General features: G+C 37.4%; 1 protein-coding gene and 1 long non-coding RNA gene across 5 annotated transcripts in view; one reads left to right on the top strand and one right to left on the bottom strand.

Moving 5' to 3' along the window:
- The window catches only part of LOC124901120 (uncharacterized), an 85,782-nt gene extending 69,102 nt beyond the window's left edge, over nucleotides 1-16,680 (top strand). Inside the window, exon 3 of the long non-coding RNA XR_007059016.1 lies at nucleotides 16,615-16,680. This is a non-coding gene — a long non-coding RNA (uncharacterized LOC124901120). The remainder of the gene's footprint in view (nucleotides 1-16,614) is intronic.
- The window catches only part of SGCD (sarcoglycan delta), a 1,039,957-nt gene that overhangs the window by 460,621 nt on the left and 554,226 nt on the right, over nucleotides 1-25,110 (bottom strand). The window lies entirely within an intron of this gene.

Below are 25,110 nucleotides of genomic sequence, written 5' to 3'. Positions count from 1 at the left end.
TGGGAGGCTGAGGTGGAAGGATTGCTTGGGCCCAGGAAGTTGAGCCTGCAGTTATCTGTGTTTGTGCCACTGCACTCTAGCCTGGTCAACAGAGTGAGACTCTAAATCAAAAAAAAAAAAAAAAAAGAAAACTTATATTCTGTGCAAATAGCAACCAAAAAACACCACAGGTGGTTATATTAATATCAGAAAAAATGGATTTTAATTCAAAAGAATTCACAAAACACAAATGCCATTATATATTAATAAAAGTTTCAATACAGCAAGAAAATGATGATTATAAAAATTTATGTGCCTAATAATAGCCTATTAAAATATGTGAACATAGGAAAGGAGACAGAGCAAGATGGCCAAATAGGACCCTCTGGTGATCATTCCTGCCACAAAGGAACACGAAATTGAACAACTGTCCACACAAGAGAGCATCTTCACCAGAACCAAAAATCAAGTGATCACAGTACCTGGTTTTAACATAATAGCAAGAAAGGAGGCACTGAAGAAGGTATAAAAGATAGTCTTGAATAGTTGACACCACCCCTCTACCATCTTCCTAGGAATGGCCATATGGCATGGAGGAAAAATCTGTGTGCTTGGGGGAGACAGAATACAGTGATGGTGAGACTTTGTATAGAAAACAGCACTACTATATTAGTCCCTTTTCATGCTGCTGATAAAGACATACCCAAAACTGGGAAATTTACAAAAGAAAAAGGTTTAATGGACTTACAGTTCCACATGGCTGGGGAAGCCCCACAATCACAGCAGAAGGCAAGGAGGAACAAGTCACATCATACATGGATGGCAACAAGCAAAGAGAGAGCTTGTGCAGGGAAACCCCCCCTTATGGAACCATCAGATCTCATGAGACTCATTCACTATCATGAGAACAGCATGGGAAAGACCTGCCCCCATGATTCAGTTACCTCCCACCAGGTGTCTCTCGCAATACATGGGAATTCAAGATGAGATACGGGTGGTGACACAGCCAAACCATATCTTTCCACCCCTGGCACCTCCAAAATATAATGTTCTCACATTTCAAAATGAATCATGCCTTCCCAACAGTCCCTTAAAGTCTTAACTCAATTCAGCATTAACTTAAAAGTCCACAGTCAAACATCTCATCTGGGACAAGGCAAGTCCCTTGTGCCTAAATCAAAAGTAAGTTAGTTACTTCCTAGATACAATGGGGGTACAGGCATTGGGTAAATACAGCCATTCCAAATGGGAGAAAGTGGCCAAAACAAAGGGGCTACAGGCCCCATTCAAGTCTAAAATCCAGCAGGGCAGTCAAATTTTGAAGCTCCAAAATAATCTCTCTCCTTTGACTCCATGTCTTGTATCTGGATCACACTGATGCAAGAGGTGGGTTCCCATGGTCTTGGGCAGCTCTGCCCTGTGGTTTTGGAGCATACAGCTTCCCTCCTGACTGCTATCATGGGCTAGCATTGAGTGTGCATCTTTTCCATGTGCTTTTCCATGGTGCAAGCTGTTGGTGGATCTACCATTCTGGGGTCTGGAGGATGACGGTGCTCTTCTCACAGCTCCAATAGGTGGTGCCTCAGTAGGGCCTCTGTGTGGGGGCTCTGACCCCACATTTCCCTTCTGCACTGCCCTAACAGAGGTTCTCCATGAGGGCCCCACTCCTGCAGCACACTTGTGTCTCTGTATCCAGGCATTTCCATACATCCTCTGAAATCTAGGTAGAGGTTCCCAAACCTCAATTATTGACTTCTGTGCACCTGCAGGCCCAACCTCACATGAAAGCTGCCAAGGCTTGAGACTTGCACCCTCTGAAAGCATGGCCCAAGCTCTATGTTGGCCCCTTTCAGCCATGGCTGGAGTGACTGGGATGCAGGACACCAAGTCCCTAAGCTGCACACAGCACAGACACCCTGGTCCCAGCCCATGAAACTACTTTTTCCTCCTAGGCCTCCTGACCTGTGATGGGAGGGAATGCCTTGAAGACCTCTGACATGCCCTGGAGATATTTTCCCCATTGTCTTGGGGATTAACATTTGGCTCCTCATTACTTAAGCAAATTTCTGCAGCTGGCTTGAATGTCTCCTCAAGAAATGGGATTTTCTTTTCTATTGCATTGTCAGGCTGCAAATTTTCTGAAATTTTATGATCTACTTCTTTTATAAAACTGAATGCATTTAACAGCACCCAAGTCACTTCTTGAATGCTTTGCTGCTTAGAAATTTCTTCTGCCAAATAGCTTAAATCATCTCTCTCAAGTTCAAAGTTCCACAAATCTCCAGGGCAGGGGCAAAATGCAACTAGTCTCTTTGCTAAAACATAACAAGAGTCATCTTTGCTCCACCTCCCAACAAGCGCCTCATCTCCATCTGAGACCACTTCAGACTGGATCTTATTGTTCATATCACTGTCAGCATTTTTGTCAAACCCATTCAACAAGTCTATAGAGGTTTCAAACTTTCCCACATTTTCCAGTCTTCTTCAGAGCCTTCCAAACTGTTCCAACCTCTGCCTGTTACCCAGTTCCAAAGTCTTTTCCACATTTTTGGGTATCTTTTCAGCAGTGCCCCACTCTACTGGCATCAATTTAGTGTATTAGTCCATTTTCATACTGCTGATAAAGACATACCTGAGACTGGGCAATTTACAAAACAAAAAGGTTTAATGGACTTACAGTTCCACGTGGCTGGGGGAGCCTCATAATCATGGTGGAAGGCAAGGAGGAGCAAGTCACATCTTACATGGATGGCAATAGGCAAAGAGAGAGTGTTTGCAGGGAAACTCCCCATTATAGAGCCATCAGATCTCATGAGACTTATTCTGTATCACAAGAACACCATGGGAAAGACCTGTCCCCATGATTCAATTACCTCCCACCGGGTTCCTCCCACAACACACGAAAATTCAGGATGATATTTGGGTGGGGACACAGTCAAACTGTATCAACTAACTTGTCATAGCAAAAAGCAACATAAAGCAGAACTCAGTGGGTGACAATAGAGGGAGCATTTAGATTAGCCAGAGGGAAGTTACCCATCTCAGCAATCAGAACCTGAATTCTGGCTAGCCCACCACTATAGGCTAAAGTGCTCTGTGGTCCAAAGTAAACTTGAAAGGCAGTCTAGGCCACAAGGACTGCAATTCCTGTGCAAGTACTGGTGCTCTGCTGAGCTCAGAGCTAGTGAATTTGGGGTGCCTATGACCTAGCGAGACACCAGCCAGGGCAGCCAAGGGAGTGCTTGTGTCACTCCTCCCCTAACCATAGGCAGTACAACTCACATTTCTAGAAGAGACTCCTTCCTTCTGCTTGAGGAGAAAAAGGGAAACAGTAAAGAGGACTTTGCCTTGCAACTTAGATACTAGTGCAAACACAGCCCTTAAAAGAGGTTACCAAGTGGAATCCAGAGGCCCCCATTCCAGGCCCTAGCTCCTGAATGACATATATAGACACACCCTAGGCCATAACGGAAGCTGCTTCCCTGGGAATCCTACCAGTCCTGGTAGGATTCATCACCTGCTGACTAATAAGCCCATGGGCCATGAATGAACCTCAGTGGCTAAGGGCCTCAGGTGAGACCTAGGGCTATGCTGGCTTCAGGTGTGACCCAGTACATTACCAGCTATGGTGACCATGAGGACAGACTCCTTCTGCTTGAGGAAAGAAAAGAGTAAAGGAGACTTTGTCTTGCAGCTTGGGAACCAGATTAGCCACAGTGGGGTAGATTACTAAGTGGGCTCCTGGGGTTCCAGATTCTAAGCTGTGGCTCCTGAATGGCATTTCTGGAACCACCCTTGGTTACAGGTGAACCCAATTCCTTGAAGGGAGAGACCCAGGCCTGGTAGCATTTGCCACAAGCTAACTAAAGACCTTTGGGCCTAGAGTGAACATCAATGGTAGCCCAGTAGCATTCACTAGGGGCCTGGGACAGTGGTGGCCATGGGAAGGGACTCCTCTGCTTATGGAAAAGGGAGGGAAGAGTGGGAAGGACTTTGTCTTGATGCTTGGGTGCCAGCTAAGCTGTAGTAGAATGGAGCACCAAGTAGATTCCTAAAATCCCTGACTCCAGACCCTACCTCCCAGATGGCATTCCTGGACATGTCCAAGGCTGGAGGGTTGGGGCAGCTAACTGCCCTGAGGGAAGGACAAAAGTCTGGCTGAATTTTCCACCTGCTGACTGAAGAATGCTTGGTCCTTGAGTAAACATCTGTGGTAGATAGGCAGTGGTTGCTGCAGGCTTTGGGTAAGACCTAGTACTATGCTGACTTTGGGTCTGACCCAGCACAATCCCAGTGTTGGTGGCCACAGTGGTGCTTGTATAACCTCACCCCCAGCTCCAGGAAGCTCATCATGAAAAGAGAGACTCTATTTGTCTAGGAGAAAGTAAGAGAAGATAACAAGTTGGTAATACAGGGAATTCTCCCAAATATAACCCAAGACCACCAAGGTGGTACCTCTACAAGCCAGCTTCAGTGCCCAAAGATTTAGATTACAATACTGAATTCCTCTTAAATACTTGGAAAGCCTTCCCAAGAAGGATAAATACAAATAAGTCCAGACTATAATAAATATCTAATATCTAAATATTTAATGCACAAATATCAACAAACATCCACAAGCAACAAATACCATCCAGGAAAACATGACCTCACTAAACAAAATAAAGAAAGCATTAGTGGGCCAATCTAGGAGTGAGAGATATATGTGACTTCTCAGAGAATACAAAAATACCTTCCTCGAGGAAACTCAAAGTAATTCAAGATAAAACACAGAAGAAATTCAGAGTCCCAGCAGATAAATGTAAGAGAGAGATTAAAATAATTTTTAAAAATCAAACAGAAATGTTGGAGCTGAAAAATTCAATTGATGTACTGAAGAATGCATCAGTCTCTCAACAACAGAACTGATCAAGCAGAAGAAAGAATTAGTGAGTCTGAAGACAGGCTACTTGAAAATGTATAGTCAGAGGATACAAAAGAAAAAAGAATAAAAAGGAATGAAGCATACCTACAAGATACAGGAAATAGCCTTAAAAGGGCAAAACTAAGAGTTATTGGCCTTACAGAGGAGATAGAGAAGAAGATAGCCGTAGAAAGTTTATTCAAAGGGATAATAACAGAATGTTCCAAACCTAGGGAAAGTTATCAATATTCAAGTACAAGAAGCTTATAGAACATCAAGCAGGTTTAACCCAAAGAAGACTACCTCAAGGCATTTTCTAATCAAACTTCCAAAGATCAAGGATTAAGAAACGATTCCAAAAACAGCAAACAAAATAAATAACATAAAAAGGAGCTTCAATACATCTGACAGAAAACTTCTCTCAATGAAAACCTTACAGGCCAGAAAAGAGTGACATGACATATGTAAAGTGCTGAGGAAAAAAAAAAAAAACTTTTATCCTAGAATAGTATATCCAGTGAAAACATCTTTCAAACATGAAACAGAAACACTTTCCCAGACAAACAAAAGCTGAGGAATTTTATCAACACCAGATCTATCTTACAAGAAAGGCTAAAGAGAGTTCTTCAATCTGAAAGACAAAGGTATTAATTAGCAGTAAGAAATCATGTGACAGTACAAAACTCACTGGTAACTGTAAGCACACAGACAAATACAGACTATTATAACCCCTGTAATTGAGGTATTTAAACTACTCAAATCTTGAGTGAAAAGACGAAAATCAACATATCAAAAATAATAACTACAGCAACTTTTCAAAACATAGACAGTATAATAAGATATAAAGAGAAACAACAAAGGTTATAAAGCAGGGGAGTAGTAAAGTTAAAGCATAAAGTTTTTACTAGTTTTCTCTTTGTTAGTTTGTTTCTTTTTACAGTAATCATTAAGTAGTCATCAGTTTAAAATAATGGGTTAAACTTGTTATGTGCAAGCCTCATTGTAATCTCAAATATAAAAACCTACAACACATACACAAAAAATAAAAAGTAAAACATTTAAAAATATCACCAGAGAAAATCTTCTTCACTAAAAGGAAGAAAGGAAAGAAAGAAGGAAGTAAGAGACGACAATAATAGAACTAGAAAATAAATAACAAAATGGCAGGAGCAAGTCCTTACTTATCAATAATAATATTGAATATAAATGGAATAGACTGTCCAATTAAAAGACATAGACTGGCTAAATAGATTTATGTTGCCTACAAGAAACACACTCCACTTATAAAGACACACATAGATTGAAAACAGAGGGATGGAAAAAGATATGCCATGCCATAGAGACCAAAAGAGAGCAGGAGTCCTTATACTTTTATCAAACAAAATAGATTTCAAGATAAAAACTATAAAAAAAGACAAAGATTATATAATGATAAAGGGATCAATTCAGCAACAGGATTTAACAATTGAAAATTTATATGCACCCAAGAATGGAGCGCTCAGATATACAAAGCAAATAATATTAGAACTAAAGAGACAGAGAGATCCCAATACAAGAATAGCTGGAGACTTCAACACCACAGTTTCAGCATTGGAGAGATCATCCAGACATAAAATCAAGTAAAGAAACTCTGGACTTAAACTGAACTGTATATCAAATGGCCCTAATAGATATTTACAGAACATTCTATCCAAAGGTTTCAGAATTCACATTCTTCTCTTCACCACATGGATCATTCTCAAGGATAGACCATATGTTAGGTCACAAAACAAGTCTGAAAACATTCCAAAAAATAGAAATAATATCTTCTCTGACAACAATAGAATAAAACTGGAAATCAATTACAAGAGGAATTTTGGAAACTATGCAAACACAGGTAAATTAAACAATATGCTCCTAAATGATGAGTGGGTCAATGAAGAGATTATAGAGGGAAATTGAAAAATTTCTTGAAACAAATAATGAAAAAACAATATACCAAAACCCATGGGATACAGCAAAAGCAGTACTAAGAGGAGAGTTTATAGCTATAAGTGCCTACAAAAATAAATAAATAAATAAAAGGAAACACTTACATAATCTAATGATGTATTTTAAATCATTTTAGTTGATGCTGAATAAAGATTTGATAGAATTCAACATCCCTTTATCATAAAAATTCTAAAAAACCTGGGGATAGAAGAAATAGCTCAACACAATTAAAGACATATACGACAGACCCACAGGTAGTATTATACTGAATGGGGAAAAAACTGAAAGCCTTTCCTCCGAGATCAGGAACATGACAAGGATACCCACTTTTACCACTGTTATTCAACATGGTACTGGAAGTCCTAGCTAGAGCAACCAGACAAGAGAAAGAAATAAAGGGCTTCCAAATTGGAAAGGAAGTCCAATTATCCTGGTTGCATATTATATGATCTTACATTTGGAAACACCTAAAGACTCCACCAAAAAAAGATTAGAACTGATAACAAATGCATTAAAGTTACAGGATATACAATCAACATACAAAAATCAGTAGCATTTTTACATGCCAACGGTGAACAGCCTAACAAAGAAATCAAGAAAGTAATCCCATTTACTACAACTACAAATAAAATAAGACAACTAGGAGTAAGCTGAACCAAAAAAGTGAAAGATCTCTATAACGAAAACTATAAATCACTGATGCAATAAATTGAGGAAGATATACAAAAAATGGAAAAAATATTTCCATGTTTGTGGATTGGAACAATCAATATCGTTAAAATGTCCATACTACCCAAAACAATCTAGACATTCAATGCAATTCCTCATCAAAATACCAACGACATTCTTCAAAGAAATAGAAAAAAAAATCTTAAAATTTATATGGAACCACAAAAGACCCAGAATAGCCAAAGCTCTCCTAAGCAAAAAGAACAAAACCATAAGAACCTGACTTCAAATTATACTACAGAGCTATGGTAACCAAATTGGCATGGTACTGGCATAAAAACAGATACACAGACAAGTGGAATAGCACATAGGACCCCCAAATAAATCCATGCATCTACAGTGAACTCATTTTCAAAAAAGGTGCCAAGAACATACACTGGGGAAAGGACAGTCTCTTCAATAAATGGTGCTGGGAAAACTAGATATCACTATGCGGAAAAATGAAACTAGATCTATATCTCTTGCAATATATAATAATAAGATCAAAATGGATTAGTGACTTACATTTAAGGCCTCAAACTATGAAACTAATTTAAAAAATCTTTGGAGAAAATCTCCAGGACATTGGTCTGGGCAAAGATTTCTTAAGTAATACCCCACATGCACAGGCAACCACAGCAAAAATACAAGTGCAATCTCATCAAGTTAAAAAGTCTCTGCATGTCAAAACAATCAATAAAGTGAAGAGGCAACTCAAACAATGAAAGAAAATATTTGAAAATATTAATCTGAAAAGGGATTAATAACCCAAATATATTAGGAGCTCCAATACCTCTATAGGAAAATATCTAATAATCTAATTAAAAATGAGCAAAATATCTGAATAGACATTTCTCAAAGAATGCTTAATAAATGGGCCACGTGTGGTAGCTCACACCTGTAATCCCAGCACTGTGGGAGGCTGAGGTGGGTGGATCATCTGAGGTCAGGAGTTCGAGACCAGCCTGGCCAACACTCCAGCCTGGGCAACAAGAGCAAACTCTGTCTCCAAAAAAAAAAAAAAAAAAAAGAAAAGAAAAAAAGACTTAACAAATGGCAAACAGGTATATGAAAAGGTGCTCAGTATCATTGATCATCAGAGAAATGCAAATCAAAACTACAATGAAATATCATCTCATCCCAGTTAGAATGGCTTTTATCCAAAAGGCCATAATGAATGCTGGTAAGGATATGGATATGGAGAAAATGGAACCCTTGTACACTGTTGGTGGGAATGTAAATTAGTACAACCACTCTGAAGAATAGTATGGATGTTCCTAAAAAATTTAAAGATCTAATTACCACACGATCCAGCAATCTGACTACTGGGTATTTATCCAAAGGAAATGAAATTAGTATTTTAAAGAGACACTTCAGCAGTATTCACAATATCCAAGCCTTAGAAGCAACCTAAGTGTACATCAACAGATGAATGGATAAAGAGAATGTGGTACAGATACACAACAGAGTACTATTCAACCATAAAAAAAAATAAGATCCTGTCATTTGTGACATGGACGGACCTGGAGGATATTACATTAAGTGAAATAAGTCACACAAAGGAAGAAAAACTTTGCATATTTTCACTCATTTGGGCAAGCTGAAAACTAAAACAACTGAACTCATAGAGACAGAGTAGAAGGACGGTTACCAGAGTCTGGGAAGGGTAATTGTGGGATTGGGGGTGGGCGGGGGATAGCTACTGAGTACAAAAATATAGTTAGATAGAATTAATAAGATCTAGTATTTGATAGCACAACAGGGTGACTATAGTCAGCAATTTATTTATTTATTTATTTATTTATTTATTTATTTTTTTATTATACTTTAAGTTTTAGGGTACATGTGCACATTGTGCAGGTTAGTTACATAGGTATACATGTGCCATGCTGGTGCACTGCACCCACTAACTCGTCATCTAGCATAGGTATATCTCCCGATGCTATCCCGCCCCCCTCCCCCCACCCCACAACAGTCCCCAGAGTGTGATATTCCCCTTCATGTGTCCATGTGATCTCATTGTTCAATTCCCACCTATGAGTGAGAATATGTGGTGTTTGGTTTTTTGTTCTTGCGATAGTTTACTGAGAATGATGATTTCCAATTTCATCCATGTCCCTACAAAGGACATGAACTCATCATTTTTTATGGCTGCATAGTATTCCATGGTGTATATGTGCCACATTTTCTCAATCCAGTCTATCATAGATGGACATTTGGGTTGGTTCCAAGTCTTTGCTATTGTGAATAATGCCGCAATAAACATACGTGTGCAGGTGTCTTTATAGCAGCATGATTTATAGTCCTTTGGGTATATACCCAGTAATGGGATGGCTGGGTCAAATGGTATTTCCAGTTCTAGATCCCTGAGGAATCGCCACACTGACTTCCACAATGGTTGAACTAGCAATTTATTGTATATTTAAAAATAACTAAGAGAGTATCAGTGGAATGCTTGTAACATGAATAAATGATAAATTCTTGAGGTGACGAATACCCCATTTACCCTGATGTAATTATTATGCATTGTATGTCTGTATCAAAATATCTAATATATCCCATATATATATATATATTTATATGCTATACACACATAAAATTAAAAATTTGAAAACTATATAGAGTGTGTACATATATACTATATATAGTGTGTGTATGTGTGTGTATATATGTGCATATAAATGTTCATATATCATATATAGTGTGCATGTGTACATATGAAGCAAAAATTGAAAACAGTGAAGGGAGAAGTAGACATTTCTACTTCAGTAATGGACAGAACCAGAAAGAAGATAATAAGAAAATACAGGACTTGAACATCACAGTAAACTAACTAGATTTAACAGAATACACATTCCTCTCAGATGCTCCTCCAACATTTTCCAGGATAAACCATATGTTATGCCACAAATTAAGACTCATTAGATTTAAAACAATGGATATAATACAAAGTATCTTCTGTGACTACAACAGGATTAAATTAGAATTCAATAACAGAAGGAAAATCGAAAAATTCACAAGTTTGTGAATATTAGACAACATGCTTTTAAATAACCAACAGATGAAAGAGTAAATCACAAGAGGCATTAGAAAACACTTAGAGACAAATGAAAATGCAGTGTTAAGGTGTAAATTTATAGCTATAAATGCCTATATTAGAAAATAAGAAAGATCTTCTATTGACAACCTAAATTTATGTAGTGAATTCCTACAATTTATGGTGCCTCAACATCCATTTTGAAAATAAATTGGACTGTCTTATACAAGAATCAAGAATTGGTCACCTTTGACACCGTCTCTAGTTCTCTGCCTCCTTCCAGTTCCTCAAGGTGATTGATAGAGATATCTGCCTTATACATCCACCTCCCCATGGGACAGCTAGGTACAACCCACTTGACCTTCTCCACTGACCCCCACATTCTGAATGGACTGTGAAGATATAACAGAGTGATCACCTTTCAGTCACAGTGGGACTCCACAGAACTTGTGCCTGCTTGCTCCAAAACCACCAATTAGTATGCCCCATGAGAAATCAGTTTGAGCAATGCCTTAGACCCCAACAGATGCTCTGGCTCACAGGTCCCATTCTCTCTCTCTTGCTTCCTACCATCTGATTTAACATTCATGTCTTAGAAGGCTCCCTTTTCCCACTGGCCCTGCGAGGCATGCTCTAGCTGGGATTTGTAAGTAATACATTGCTTCTGTTATTTTATGTGATTTGTTGAGTTGCTTCTACTGGTTGTCACCTGACTGACACATCCAAAACTAGCTTCTTTCCTCATCAGGCCTCTCTTAGAGATTGGATATTTTGGTAGGAATAAAATAGATATAGGTTAAATAAGAGCTAATATTGGGTTTGCCAGTACAATTTTCCTGTGAGGAACAGCAGGTCATGGTCAAACATTTATGCGTTAGGCCATCTGCTAGGATAAAGAAGTATTCCATGAAAAGCACATTGTAATCATCCACTAGCAAATCCCCTGGATCCCTGCCAGTGCAGGGTGAGAGTTCATAACCACTTCTCCTATGAGAGACCTCCAGACCAAATGGAAGGAAAATACAGTGTTTTATGATTTAAGAAACTAGAAAGAGAATAAAGGAAACCCAATGATAGCAGAAGGAAGGATATAATAAAAATTAGAGCAAAGAAAAAATGAAATAGAGAAAAGAAACATAATACAGAACATCTGTGAAATCAAGAGATGGTTCTTCAAAAATATCCACAAAATTGACAACTCTTCAGCAAGATAGACTAAGCAAAAAAGGACTCAAATTTCTAAAATAAAAATAAAAGTGGTACGTACAAATGCTACAGAAATAAAAAAGAGAATATGATGAGCAATTGTACACCAACAAATTAGATGACCTATAGAAAATGGACAAAATCCCAGAAACACAAAACCTACCAAGATTAAGCCAGGCAGAAATAGAAAATCTGAATAGACATATAACTAGTGAGGAGACTGAATCAATAATCAAAATCTCCAGACAAAGAAAAGCCATGAACCTGATGGCTTCATTGGGTGAATGCTATCAAACATTTAAAGAATTAATAGCAATCCTTTCCAACCTTTTGTCAAAATATTGAAGAAGAGGGAACACTCCCTAACTCAATCTATGTGGTCAGCATTGCCCTGATATGGAAGACAGACAAACACTACAATAAAACTACAGATAATTCTTCCTTATGAATATTAATGCAAAAATTATCAACAAAATACTAGCAAACCAAATTCAAAAGTATATTGTAAAGATTATAAACTATGGCCAAGTGGGATTTATTCCTGGAATACAAGAATAATCTAGCGTATCAAAATTCAACAATTTGATATAACGTATTAACAGAATGAAGCAGGAGGAACCACATGATCATCTCAACTGATACATAAAAAGCATTTGACAAAATTCAACACCTTTTCATGACAGAAACATTCAACAAGCTAAAAATAGAAGGAAACTATCTCAATATCATAAAAGACATATGAAAAACCCACAGTGAATATCATACTCAATGGTAAAAGAATAAAAGCATTTGCTATAAGATTAGAATCAAGGCAAGAAGACTTGCTTTCACCACTTCTATTTCACGTGGAACTGGAAGTCACAGCCAGAGCAATTAGGCAAGGAAAGGAAATAAAAAGCATCCAAATTTATTTTGCTTTTTTTTTACTTTTTATAGAGACTTGGTCTTTATGTTGACCAGGCCAGTCTTGAACTCCGAACCTCAAGTGATCCTCTTGCCTCGGCCTCCTGAGATGCTGGGATTACAAGAATGAGCCATTGTGCCCAGCTGGCATCTAAATTTGAAAGGGAGAAATAAAATTATCTCTGTTCACAAATATAATTTATATGTAGAAAACCCTAAATATTCCACCAAAAAATCTCTGTTATAACTAACAAATTCAATAAAGTAAAAGGATACAAAGTCGACATGCAAAAATCATTTGCATTTTTATGCACTTAAATGAGCAATTCAAAAATGAAAGAAAACAATACCAACAATTCCATTTAAAATAGCATCAAAAGAATAAAATACTTCAAAATGATTTAACCAAAGAGGTAAAATATTTCTACAATGAAAACTACAAATCGATTCTGAAAGAAATTTAAAAAGACATAAATAAATGGAAACGCACCTCATGTTCATGGATTGGAAGATTTAATATTGTTAAGATGTCAATACTATTCAAAATGATCTACAGATTTAATGCAATCCCTATCAAAATTTCAAGAATATCTTTTTCTTTTCTTTTCTTTCTTTCTTGCAGTAGAAAAATTTATGCTAGAATTCACATGGAACCTTAAGAGATCCTGAAGAGCCAAAACAATCCTGAAAGGGAAGAACAAAACTAAAGGACTCATATGTCCTGATTTCACAACTTACTACCAAGCCTCAATAATCAAAACAATGTGATAATGGCATAAATACAGATACATAGACCAACGGAATAAAATAGAATAAAAAAACCTTGACATATATGGTAAAATGATTTTTGACAAAGGTTTCAATATCATTTAATAGGGAAGATATAATCATTTCAACAAATGGTGCTGGGGAAACTGGACATCCACATGCAAAAGAATGAAGCTGACTCCTTCCCTAACACATATACAAAAAGTAATTCAAAATGGATCAAAGACCTACATGCAAGAGCTAAAGCTATAAAACTCTTAGAAGAAAACATAGAACAAAAGCTTTACAACCTTGAAATTGGCAATGCTTTCTTGGATATGACACCAAAGGCAAAGGCAAGAAAATTTTAAAAAGGCAAGAAAAGAAAAAAAGCAGACAAATGTAACTTTAAGAAAATTTAAAAATTTTGTGCATTAAATATTCTATCAACAGAGTCAAAAGGCAACCCACAAAGCCAGGTATGTTATTATACACCCTCTAATTTCAGCTGTTTGGAAAACTGAGGCAGGAGGATCACTTGAGCCTTGAAGTTTGAGGTTGTAGCGCACTATGATCATCATGCCTTCTGAATAGCCACTGCACTTCAGCCTATGCAACATAAAAAGACCCCACCTCTAAAAAAAAACAGAAAAGAAAGGCAACCCTCAGAATGGGAGGAAATATGTCTAAATCATATTTCTGATAAAGGATTAATATTCAGAATATAGAGAGAACTCCTAAAACTCAGTAACTTAAAAATAAACAAAGTAACTCAAAATTAGACAACAGACTTGCACAAACAGACATTTCTCCAAAGAAGGTAACAAATGGCCAATAAGCATATGAAAAGATGCCCCAAATCAGTATCATTGGGGAAATGAAAAGTATAACTACAATAAGATACCATCTCAAACCCATTAGGATGTCTACTATCAGCAAAAGAGAAAATAATTAGTGTTAGCAAGGATGTGTAGAAACTGGAATTGTATACTGCCTGTGGGAATCTAAAATGGAACATCCCACTGTGGAAAATAGTATGGTGGTTTATCAGAAACTTAAAAATTGAGTGATCATATAATCCAGCAATTCTACTTCTGGGTATATACTCAAAAAATAATGGAAAGCAGAGTCTTGAAGAGATATTAATACACCAAGGTTTTATAGCAGCATTGTTTACAATAGCTAAAATGTGGAAGCAACCACATTTAAGGATAAGCAAATGTGGGTATCCATACAATGGAATTAGTATTCAGCTTTCAAAGGAAGGAAATTCTGATATATGCTACAACTTGAATAAACCTTGAGGACGTTATGCTAAATATATGCCAGTCACAAAAAAGCAAATACGTAAGATCCCACTTGTTCGTGGTACTTAGTCAAAATTATAGCGATAAAAAGTAGAATGATGGTTGCCAGGGCCTGAGGGGCAGGTGAAATTATTGTTTAACGGGTATAGGGTTTGAGTTTTGCAAGATGAAAGGAGTTGAGGAGACAAGTGGTAGTAATGCTTTCATAATAATTTAAATGTACTTAATATCAATGAAGTGTACACTTAAAAATGGTTAGGATAGAAACTGGAGGACCTGATGTTAAGTGAAATAAGCCAGACACAGAAAGATAAATACTGCAGATCTCACTTATACACAGCATCTAAAAAAGTCAAAGTCATAGAAGCAGAGAGTAGAATGGTGGTTACTAGTGGCTGGGGTGGGGTTGGGAAGATGTTTTTCAAAGAGTACAAAATTTCAGTTAAACAGAAGGAATAAGTTCAAAAGATCTATTGTACAAATCATTAATAACAATGCATTATGTATTTGAAAATTTCTAAGAGATTTCAAGTGTTCCCACCACAAATAAATGATAAGCATATAAGGTAATGCATATGTTATTTAGCTCCACAATGTATACATATTTCAAAGCATCATGTTGTTTACCATAAATGCATACAATTTTTATTTGTCATCTTAAAAAGATAATAATAATAGTATATAAGGAAAAAATCTAGAGAGTAAAGGCATTTAACAAAAAGGCAAGTTTCGTGAGAATAGCTAGTTTCTCCCTTCCCTTTAGAGAGTAGGAAAAAAAAGGTTAAGATAGTAAATATTACGTTGTGGATATTTTACCACAAGAAATACAATTAAATCAATGAACAAATAGACAAGTACGGGATAAATTTTAATGAAAATTTTTGTTTTTCTAGACTAACGGTTGATAAAACTGTCTGTAAACCAAACTGTCTGGCCTGTTGCCTGTTTTTGTAAATGACATTTTATTGGAACATAGTTATGCTCATTTTATTGATTCATTATTTTATTTATTTTTAGTGATACATCATATTTTACATATTTATGGGGTACATCTGGTTGTTTTTTACATGCATAGCATGTAAAATGACCAAGACAGGGTATTTGGGATGTCGATCACCTTGAGTATTGAATATTTCTTTGTTTTGGGAACAATTCAAGTTCTCTCTTCTAGCTGTTTTGAAATATAGAATACGGTGTTGCTAAGTACAGTCATCCTACTCTGCTATTGAACATTAAAACTTGTACCTTCTGTCTAACTGTATGTTTGTACCCACTGAACCAACTCAATACCATCTTTGGCTGCTTTTGTACTACAATGGCAGAGTCATGTAGAGTTGCCTGTCCTTATCTGCAGATGCAGAACGTGTGGATGTCAAGGGCCGGCTCTAAGACCTGAGCATCCTCAGATTATGTTATCCACAGGGGTCCTAGAACTATTATCTTATTGATACTGAGGGATGACTATAGTTTGCAACAGAGCCACTATGTCCAACAAAGCCTAAAATTTACTATTTGACCCTTTACAGGCAAGTTTGTGATTCTGGATCTATGGATCAAAATAAATGTAAAGTCAGATGTGTTCAGGGATTACAGAGGGGTATTTACTTAAATTCTTTTCCATTTTTTATATTCATCTCAGAACCTTATTTTAAAAAGAGAGGGTAAATCATATGGATAGAGAAGAGGTATACCTATCAAACCAGTGAAGAATTTAATTTCTGCAAAATTAGATGCTGCTTTATGTAAAATCTAACATTTAAAACTTTCTCACAGTCACCACTATATATTGTACATTTAATATGTACCAGGAACTATGTTCAACACTTCATGTGCAACTTTTCATTCCTTACCAGGACTGCATGAGGCAGATACTGCCAACCTACCTGTTTCAGAAGTGAGAACACTAGGACTCGGAGACAGTAAGTACCTTGCAAAATCTACACAGCTGGGTAAGTGTTGGAGCAGCACTGGAACTTAGATTCTTGAGCAATCTTCCTTATTTCTTGAAAAAGATACTAGGGAGTAACCAGGCAATGATCACAGATGCAGTTAACTTATGAACATAATGACCACTGTGGAACCGTCTTGGTTAGCACAGTAGTTGAGAACATGGGCTTTGGGGTTAGCCTTCCCAAGTTCACATCCTTCACTTCTAGCCACATACCTGGGAAGTTACTTAAGCTTTCTCTGTCTCAGTGTTCTCAACTGTAAAATACAGGTAATAATAGTACCTATGTTTAGGGTAGTTGGGAAGATCAAAGGACCCACAGCACTCTCACCACAGTACCTAGCACTAAGTGTTTGCTATTATTATCATCATTGATATTAATGTACAAAGCCTTTTCCATTTTTCAAACCCTGTTTAAAAATCTTTCCAGTATTCAACCATTCTCTAATTGCCCCTGCCTATAAGATTGTCTTTCTTCTTTATCAATCATGTTTGTTTTACAGCACATGAAATCAGCACTTGATTCCATATAATTCAGTATTATTACCTATATATAAAGATGGGGAAATTCTAGAGACTAGACATTCATACTACTTTGCATACAGTAGGTTCTCAGAGAACATTTATTGAATTGAACTGGAGCCAGGCATGGTGGCTCACACCTGTAATCCTGGCTACTCAGGAGACTAGGACGGGCGGATTGCTTGAAGCGAGGGGTTAGCGACTAGCCTGAGCAACAAAAGCTAGACCTTGTCTTTATAAAAATTAAAAATAATATTAGAAAATTGACTGTGATGCTCAAGTGTGGTACAGCAGGATTTCTCAAAGAGTTCTCACAGCCAAAAATAAAATAAAATAAAAATAAAAAAATAAAAAAAAGAAGAAGCAATAGAAAGAGGTTGCTTGGATGTTCTCACTTATAAGTGGGAACTGAACAATGAGAACACATGGACACAGAGAGGGGAGCAACACACAACGGGGCCTGTGGGGGGTGAGGGGTGGAGGTAGAGCCCAGTATAAATAGCTAATGCATACGGGGCTTAATACCCAGGTGATGGGTTGGTAGGGGCAGCAAACCACCATGGCACATATTTACCTATGTAACAAACCTGCACATTCTGCACGTGTATCCCGGAACTTAAAATAAAATAAAAATAAAAATAAAGTAAAAATAAGGGGTTGCTTGCTCAATTTTTTTTGGGAAGCCAACTAATTATATGATGTTAAATAGGATCCTTAATGCTAAATTTTTTCAGAACTTTGTATCCAATGTGTGCTATGAATATCCACGAGGGGATCAATACACACAGTGTTTTTTAAACTTATATGACCACAAACTCCTCTTTAACAGAGAACTTTATAGGACTAATCTTCTGTAGAACACATTTAGGAAAATTCCATTGCAGAGGAAATAGAGGAGCTAACAAGGACTCTAACTCCTTGTTTTAATCAGTGAAATTTAATCAAATAATTTACCTAATGCCAATAATGTGCCCATTTCTGTGCTAGGAGGCCATGGGGGCAAAAAATAATTTCCTGCACTTTATATTTTTTGCAGGATAAAAAAATGGACATGTCACTTAAAAAACCGATGGCATAAAGTCAGAAAGTGGGACCCAAGGGGCCAGTGTCTAGATCCTACGGACTTAATCAGGCAGTAACATTCTTACAGTTAGAATCAAAACACAAAACAGATTACTTGGAACAAATGCTGGATATCTGAAAAATGTCAGGAAAAAAAAATTGAACTAAAGACATGTTTATTTAAAAGCCCAAATTTGTAATTTATTCATCTGTAGGAAAGAACTAAGAGCATTTCTTCTGATCTTCAGTCCCATGAAACCACTAACACACTGAGTTTGCCATTGTATTATTTTTTCACTGTGTTGGAGATTCAGTTCAGTCTCAGGAATAAAAAGCCTAGTTGGTTCTCTTTTGGACAAACACTGAACACGACGATGGATGCTCTTAAGGGCATCATATAATGCTTATTGTAAAAACATAAACATTCAGAATAGGCAACAAAAGCCAGAAAGGATGCCAAATAAAGTTAATTTCCAGCAGGCAAAGAAATGTTTCATCCATCCTGGGATTCAGTTGGAAAGAGAAAGCGGCCCTTATGGTACACATGAAATAATGTAAAAACTCTTAGTTCCACTATGTTAGATATTTTATGTGCCAAGTGATGGCCTCAGAACTATTGATTTCCTTAGGTCTTTGACAAGTACTCAAAAAACACAGAGAAAGAGAATTCAGTGGCAGCAAAGCTCCCGAGAGTTCTACCAAATTGACTATTTCCAAACTATTTTCTGACATGAAAATTTTCCTGGCATATGCCTACATTCAAAAGATATTCTGAAGAACATGATAAGTCTCAAGATTCTCCTTGCACAGCTTTTATGTTTTTAGGTTCTCTTAGTCCTCATAGAATGTTTTGAGAATGTATTCTAACTGAACTGCATATGACTGCAAATAAAGATCACTGTCATGGCTACATTTTGTCCAGACGCAGTACCTGGCACTTGGCATATATTTTCTATCTCTAGCCTTGTTTGTTTTTGAGACAGAGCCTCACTTTGTCACTCAGGCTGGAGTGTAGTGATGTGATCCTAGCTCACTGCAGGCTCAAATTTCTGGGGTCAAGCAATCCTCCCAGCTTAGCCTCACAAAGGGCTGGGATTACAGGTGAGAGACACCATGCCCAGCCTATCTCTAAGCTTTAAAACAATGTCAGCAAAGAGTATGTGTATCGATGAATATATATACATGCAAGTGTGCATGTACCCATACACACATACACACACACACACACACACACACACACACACACAAAGAAACGGAACTAAAGTTCCAAGCTGAGTGGCATGCCCAGGGCCACCTAACCGATGAGGAAGAGTCAGAATCCAGAATCAAACCTCGGTCACTCTGACCTACCACCTATTTCTTTCCACCCTGATGTACTGCCTTGGCTTTTCAGTACATCTCTCTATTGGGATTTTAGTCCTCATTTTTTCTCCTTGTTTCTGTTCCTTCGGTTTCATGCGCCTTTCTAGGCCAACCCTCTCTAGCTACATTTCTAAACCTTCTTACCACCCTCTAGTTTACTATTTCTCAGTGAATCCCAAAAAGCTGTTTGCATCAGAGCCATCTTTCAGTCAAAAGGGTAACTCTCAGTCTCCCTTCCAGATCTGCTGAATAAGAATACCTATGAGTGGAGTATGAGATTCTGTATTCTGATCAAGTTTCTACAAGAGATTATGTTGCACAGCAAATTTTGGAAACTGCTATTTTAATTATTATAATAGCCCATGTACTAGGTATAAGTTAAAATTGCTTCTCTTCTTACACCCAAGCCCTGATAACACTTGTTATCACTGAGTGTGCTATTTGTTTACCCTCTTTGTTGTCGTATTTCCCTTTTAGAATGTAAACACTCTGAAAGCATGGGTTTTTGTCTCTCTTATTCACAACGGCATCTGTCCATTAACACAGAGTGATCAATAAATATTTGTTGAATAAATGGAGGATAAAAAAGAGATCATCCTATGCCAAATTTCCCTTCTTATTACCATCCACTCTATGACAGACACCCTGACTGACCCTATCTCAGCATTGTATGTGCTCTTTTTTTTTTTATTATACTTTAAGTTTTAGGGTACATGTGCACAACGTGCAGGTTTGTTACATATGTATACATGTGCCATGTTGGTGTGCTGCACCCAGTAACTTGTCATGTAACATTAGATATATCTCCAAATGCTATCCCTCCCCACTCCCCCAACCCACAACAGGCCCCAGTGTGTGATGTTCCCCTTCCTGTGTCCATGTGTTCTCATTGTTCAATTCCCACCTATGAGTGAGAACATGCGGTGTTTGGTTTATTGTCCTTGCAATAGTTTGCTGAGAATGATGGTTTCCAGTTTCATCCATGTCCCTACAAAGGACATGAACTCATCCTTTTCTATGGCTGCATAGTATTCCATGGTGTATATATGCCACATCTTCTTAATCCAGTCTATCATTGTTGGACATTTGGGGTGGTTCCAAGTCCTTGCTATTGTGAATAGTGCCACAATAAACATATGTGTGCATGTGTCTTTATAGCAGCATGATTTATAATCCTTTGGGTATATACCCAGTAATGGGATGGCTGGGTCAAATGGTATTTCTAGTTCTAGATCCCTGAGGAATCGCCACACTGACATCCACAATGGTTGAACTAGTTTACAGTCCCATCAACAGTATAAAAGTGTTCCTATTTCTCCACATCCTCTCTAGCACCTGTTGTTTCCTGACTTTTTAATGATCACCATTCTAACTGGTGTGAGATGGTATCTCATTGTGGTTTTGATTTGCATTTCTCTGATGGCCAGTGCTGATGAGCATTTTTTGATGTGTCTTTTGGCTGCATAAATGTCTTCTTTTGAGAAGTGTCTGTTCATATCCTTCACCCATTTTTTGATAGGGTTGTTCGTTTTTTTCTTGTAAATTTGTTGGAGTTCATTGTAGATTCTGGATATTAGCCCTTTGTCAGATGAGTAGATTAAAAATTTTTCTCCCATTTTGTAGGTTGCCTGTTCACTCTGATGGTAGTTTCTTTTGCTGTGCAGAAGCTCTTTAGTTTAATTAGATCCCATTTGTCAATTTTGGCTTTTGTTGCCATTGCTTTTGGTGTTTTAGACATGAAGTCCTTGCCCATGCCTATGTCCTGAATGGTATTGCCTAGGTTTTCTTCTAGGGTTTTTATGGTTTTAGGTCCAACGTTTAAGTCTTTAATCCATCTTGAATTAATTTTTGTGTAAGGTGTAAGGAAGGGATCCAGTTTCAGCTTTCTACATATGGCTAGCCAGTTTTCCCAGTACCATTTATTAAATATGGAATCCTTTCTCCATTGCTTGTTTTTGTCAGGTTTGTCAAATATCAGATAGTTGTAGATATGTGGCATTATTTCTGAGGGCACTGTTCTGTTCCATTGATCTATATCTCTGTTTTGGTACCAGTACCATGCTGTTTTGGTTACTGTAGCCGTGTAGTATTGTTTGAAGTCAGGTAGCATGATGCCTCCAGCTTTGTTCTTTTGGCTTAGGATTCACATGGCAATGCAGGCTCTTTTTGGGTTCCATATGAACTTTAAAGTAGTTTTTTCCAATTCTGTGAAAAAAGTCATTGGTAGCTTGATGGGGATGGCATTGAATCCATAAATTCCCTTGGGCAGTATGGCCATTTTCACGATATTGATTCTTCCTACCCATGAGCATGGAATGTTCTTCCATTTGTTTGTATCCTCTTTTATTTCATTGAGCAGTGGTTTGTAGTTCTCCTTGAAGAGGTCCTTCATATCCCTTGTAAGTTGGATTCCTAAGTATTTTATTGTCTTTGAAGCAATTGTGAATGGGAGTTCACTCGTGATTTAGCTCTCTGTTTGTGTGTTATTGGTGTATAAGAATGCTTGTGATTTTTGCACATTGATTTTGTATCCTGAGACTTTGCTGAAGTTGCCTATCAGCTTAAAGAGATTTTGGGCTGAGACGATGGGGTTTTCTAGATACACAATCATGTCATCTGCAAACAGGGACAATTTGACTTCCTTTTTTACTAATTGAATACCCTTTATTTCCTTCTCCTGCCTCATTGCCCTGGCCAGAACTTCCAACACTATGTTGAATAGGAGTGGTGAGAGAGGGCATCCCTGTCTTGTGCCAGTTTTCAAAGGGAATGCTTCCAGTTTTTGCCCATTCAGTATGATATTGGCTGTGGGTTTGTCATAGACAGCTCTTATAATTTTGAGATACATCCCATCAATACCTAATTTATTGAGAGTTTTTAGCATGAAGGGCTGTTGAATTTTGTCAAAGGCCTTTTCTGCATCTATTGAGATAATGATATGGTTTTTGTCGTTGGTTCTGTTTATATGCTGGATTATATTTATTGATTTGCGTATGTTGAACCAGCCTTGCACCCCAGGGATGAAGCCCACTTGGTCATGTTGGATAAGCTTTTTGATGTGCTGCTGGATTCGGTTTGCCAGTATTCTATTGAGGATTTTTGCATCGATGTTCATCAGGGATATTGGTCTAAAATTCTCTTTTTTTGTTGTGTCTCTGCCAGGCTTTGGTATCAGGATGATGCTGGCCTCATCAAATGAGTTAGGGAGGATTCTCTCTTTTTCTATTGATTGGAATAGTTTCAGAAGGAATGGTACCAGCTCCTCCATGTAGCTCTAGTAGAATTTGGCTGTGAATCCATCTGGTCCTGGACTTTTTTTGTTGGTAAGCTATTAATTATTGCCTCAATTTCAGAGCCTGTTATTGGTCTATTAAGAGATTCAACTTCTTCCTGGTTTAGTCTTGGGAAGGTGTAAGAATTATTTTCAGTACCTTTCTTCCAGATAATACTAAGAGTTCTCCAAGGTATTTCATACCCTTTCTTGACTTTTATTTCCACAAAAATCCCTAAGAAGTTACCCATGTACATACACAAATTAACAATTCAAGAAAGCAAAGCTGGGAATAGTTAATTTAGCAATCTATTCCCTAAATGAAAGAACTGGGGAGAACTCAGCACTTTTCACTCTACCTCTAACTCTCCTCAGCGTCAAACAGATATTCAGCATAATCTTCTATTCTGAGGTCGAACACTGCTTCTCAACGTGTGGTCTGCCACCATCAGCCTCTCTTGAGAATTGGTTAAAAATTCTTGGGCATAACCCCAGATCTACTGAGTCAGAACTCTAGGAATGGGTCCGGAAATTTGTTTTAGCAAGTCTTGCAGGTGATTTTGGTACATACTCAAATTTGAGAACTACTAAGTTAGGACGATAAACCACTGTTAAAATGCAGATACTACTTCTAAGGAAGAATGCACTGGGCAATGCTCCCTAATAGACAATGCAGATAAAGAATGTCACAATATTAGCAGAGATAACAACAGTAGGGGATGGTGTAATAAAATGCTCATCAGCTCATCACAGTTTCTGCCCCATGGTAAATTTTTGGAAAAAAATACTATAAAGAATGGATGGCAGAATAAGTAAGTGTAAAGAAATATTAAAGGAGACCAGCAGAAATATGGTTAAACTTCAGTGTTATCATTCTGGGTATGACTGATCTGTGCATAACGGAGTTACACCAGAGAACAGTTCAATTTGGGGCAAGGAAAGCAACTCAGCTTTCCAGTTTCCAAGTGCAATTTATGAATGAAATTGCTAATGTGGCTCTTTCTATGGACCAATACCAATCACTGTCTCCTTAATAGACTACACAGTCATGGAGAAACCCTGCCCATCCTCCTCTACAACCACCATCTGTGATTTCATTTCTCATTAGTTAAACATCCCTATTATATATGAAGTTCTCTGGGGAATAATTTAAGGACTAAAGGCCTGCAGAGTTTATTAGACGTACTAAAAAGTGTTCCTTTTCATCTTTCTAACAACACTAATTTAATCACCTGGAATCATTTCTGAAGTACAGTAAACACAGCTAAGAATTTCAGCCATGAAATTCTTGTATAGAAATCATCAAAAATGCGTTTTCTTTACTTAAGATATTTACCAGTTGGATCACGTATTTTTATTAAACTAAAATGCATATTTTAAATTATAAATATTCAATGGAACATCACAGACATTGTAGACAGATAATGTCAATCTTTCTCTTTATTATTAAATGGAAAGTAATGGCAAGGCTGCAATTACTTTTGCACCAACCTAATAGAAGGAAATTCACTTTTCCTTTATAAAGAATTTTTAAGACTACATATAGACCACACGTAAGTAATCAGAGTAAAGGAAAAAAAACACTCACACCAGTAATTATTCAATTAAGGATCTAATAGCATCCAACCATATTACAACTGGTTGAGCCATGTTTCTTTATTCACACTGTAAGGCAGTGAAACACACACAAATGCTTTACAATTTTCATTATGCTACCAGTGGTTGAAAATATTATTTAAGCAGGTCACCCATAATTAGGTTTCAAAACCACACATTCATTCATTTTCTCACTCATTTATTTAGTACAACTATTTGAGTGCCCATCACTTCCCAGCAACTCTGCTGGGAGGGGTACGATGCTCCTAAATATAAACAACCCTTTCCCCCTACACAGGTAATGCAAACACTACAGCTCTGTTTTGCGTTGCATCAGAAAATAAAAGCAGGATGAGCAAGTTAAAGTGTATTAGGTATCTGTTGCTTCTGCTTTCCAAACACTTATTCTGCCATACTATAGTAGGAGAATTCGCATTTCCACTTGGAGAACCCTTTGGTGTCTGAAATGCTCACATGACTCAGGCCTACTCTTATCAACATATTCTCTCCACCAGTGATTGGTTTATGTTAGGGAGTCGACATGAATCACACTAACAAGACTTAACATTTCAGATGTATGGTAAAACT

This window comes from Homo sapiens, chromosome 5 (assembly GCF_000001405.40).
Source record: "Homo sapiens chromosome 5, GRCh38.p14 Primary Assembly".
NCBI lineage: Eukaryota > Metazoa > Chordata > Mammalia > Primates > Hominidae > Homo > Homo sapiens.
Note: the sequence above shows the minus strand (reverse complement) of the source record. Positions and strands in the feature narration are given on the sequence as shown.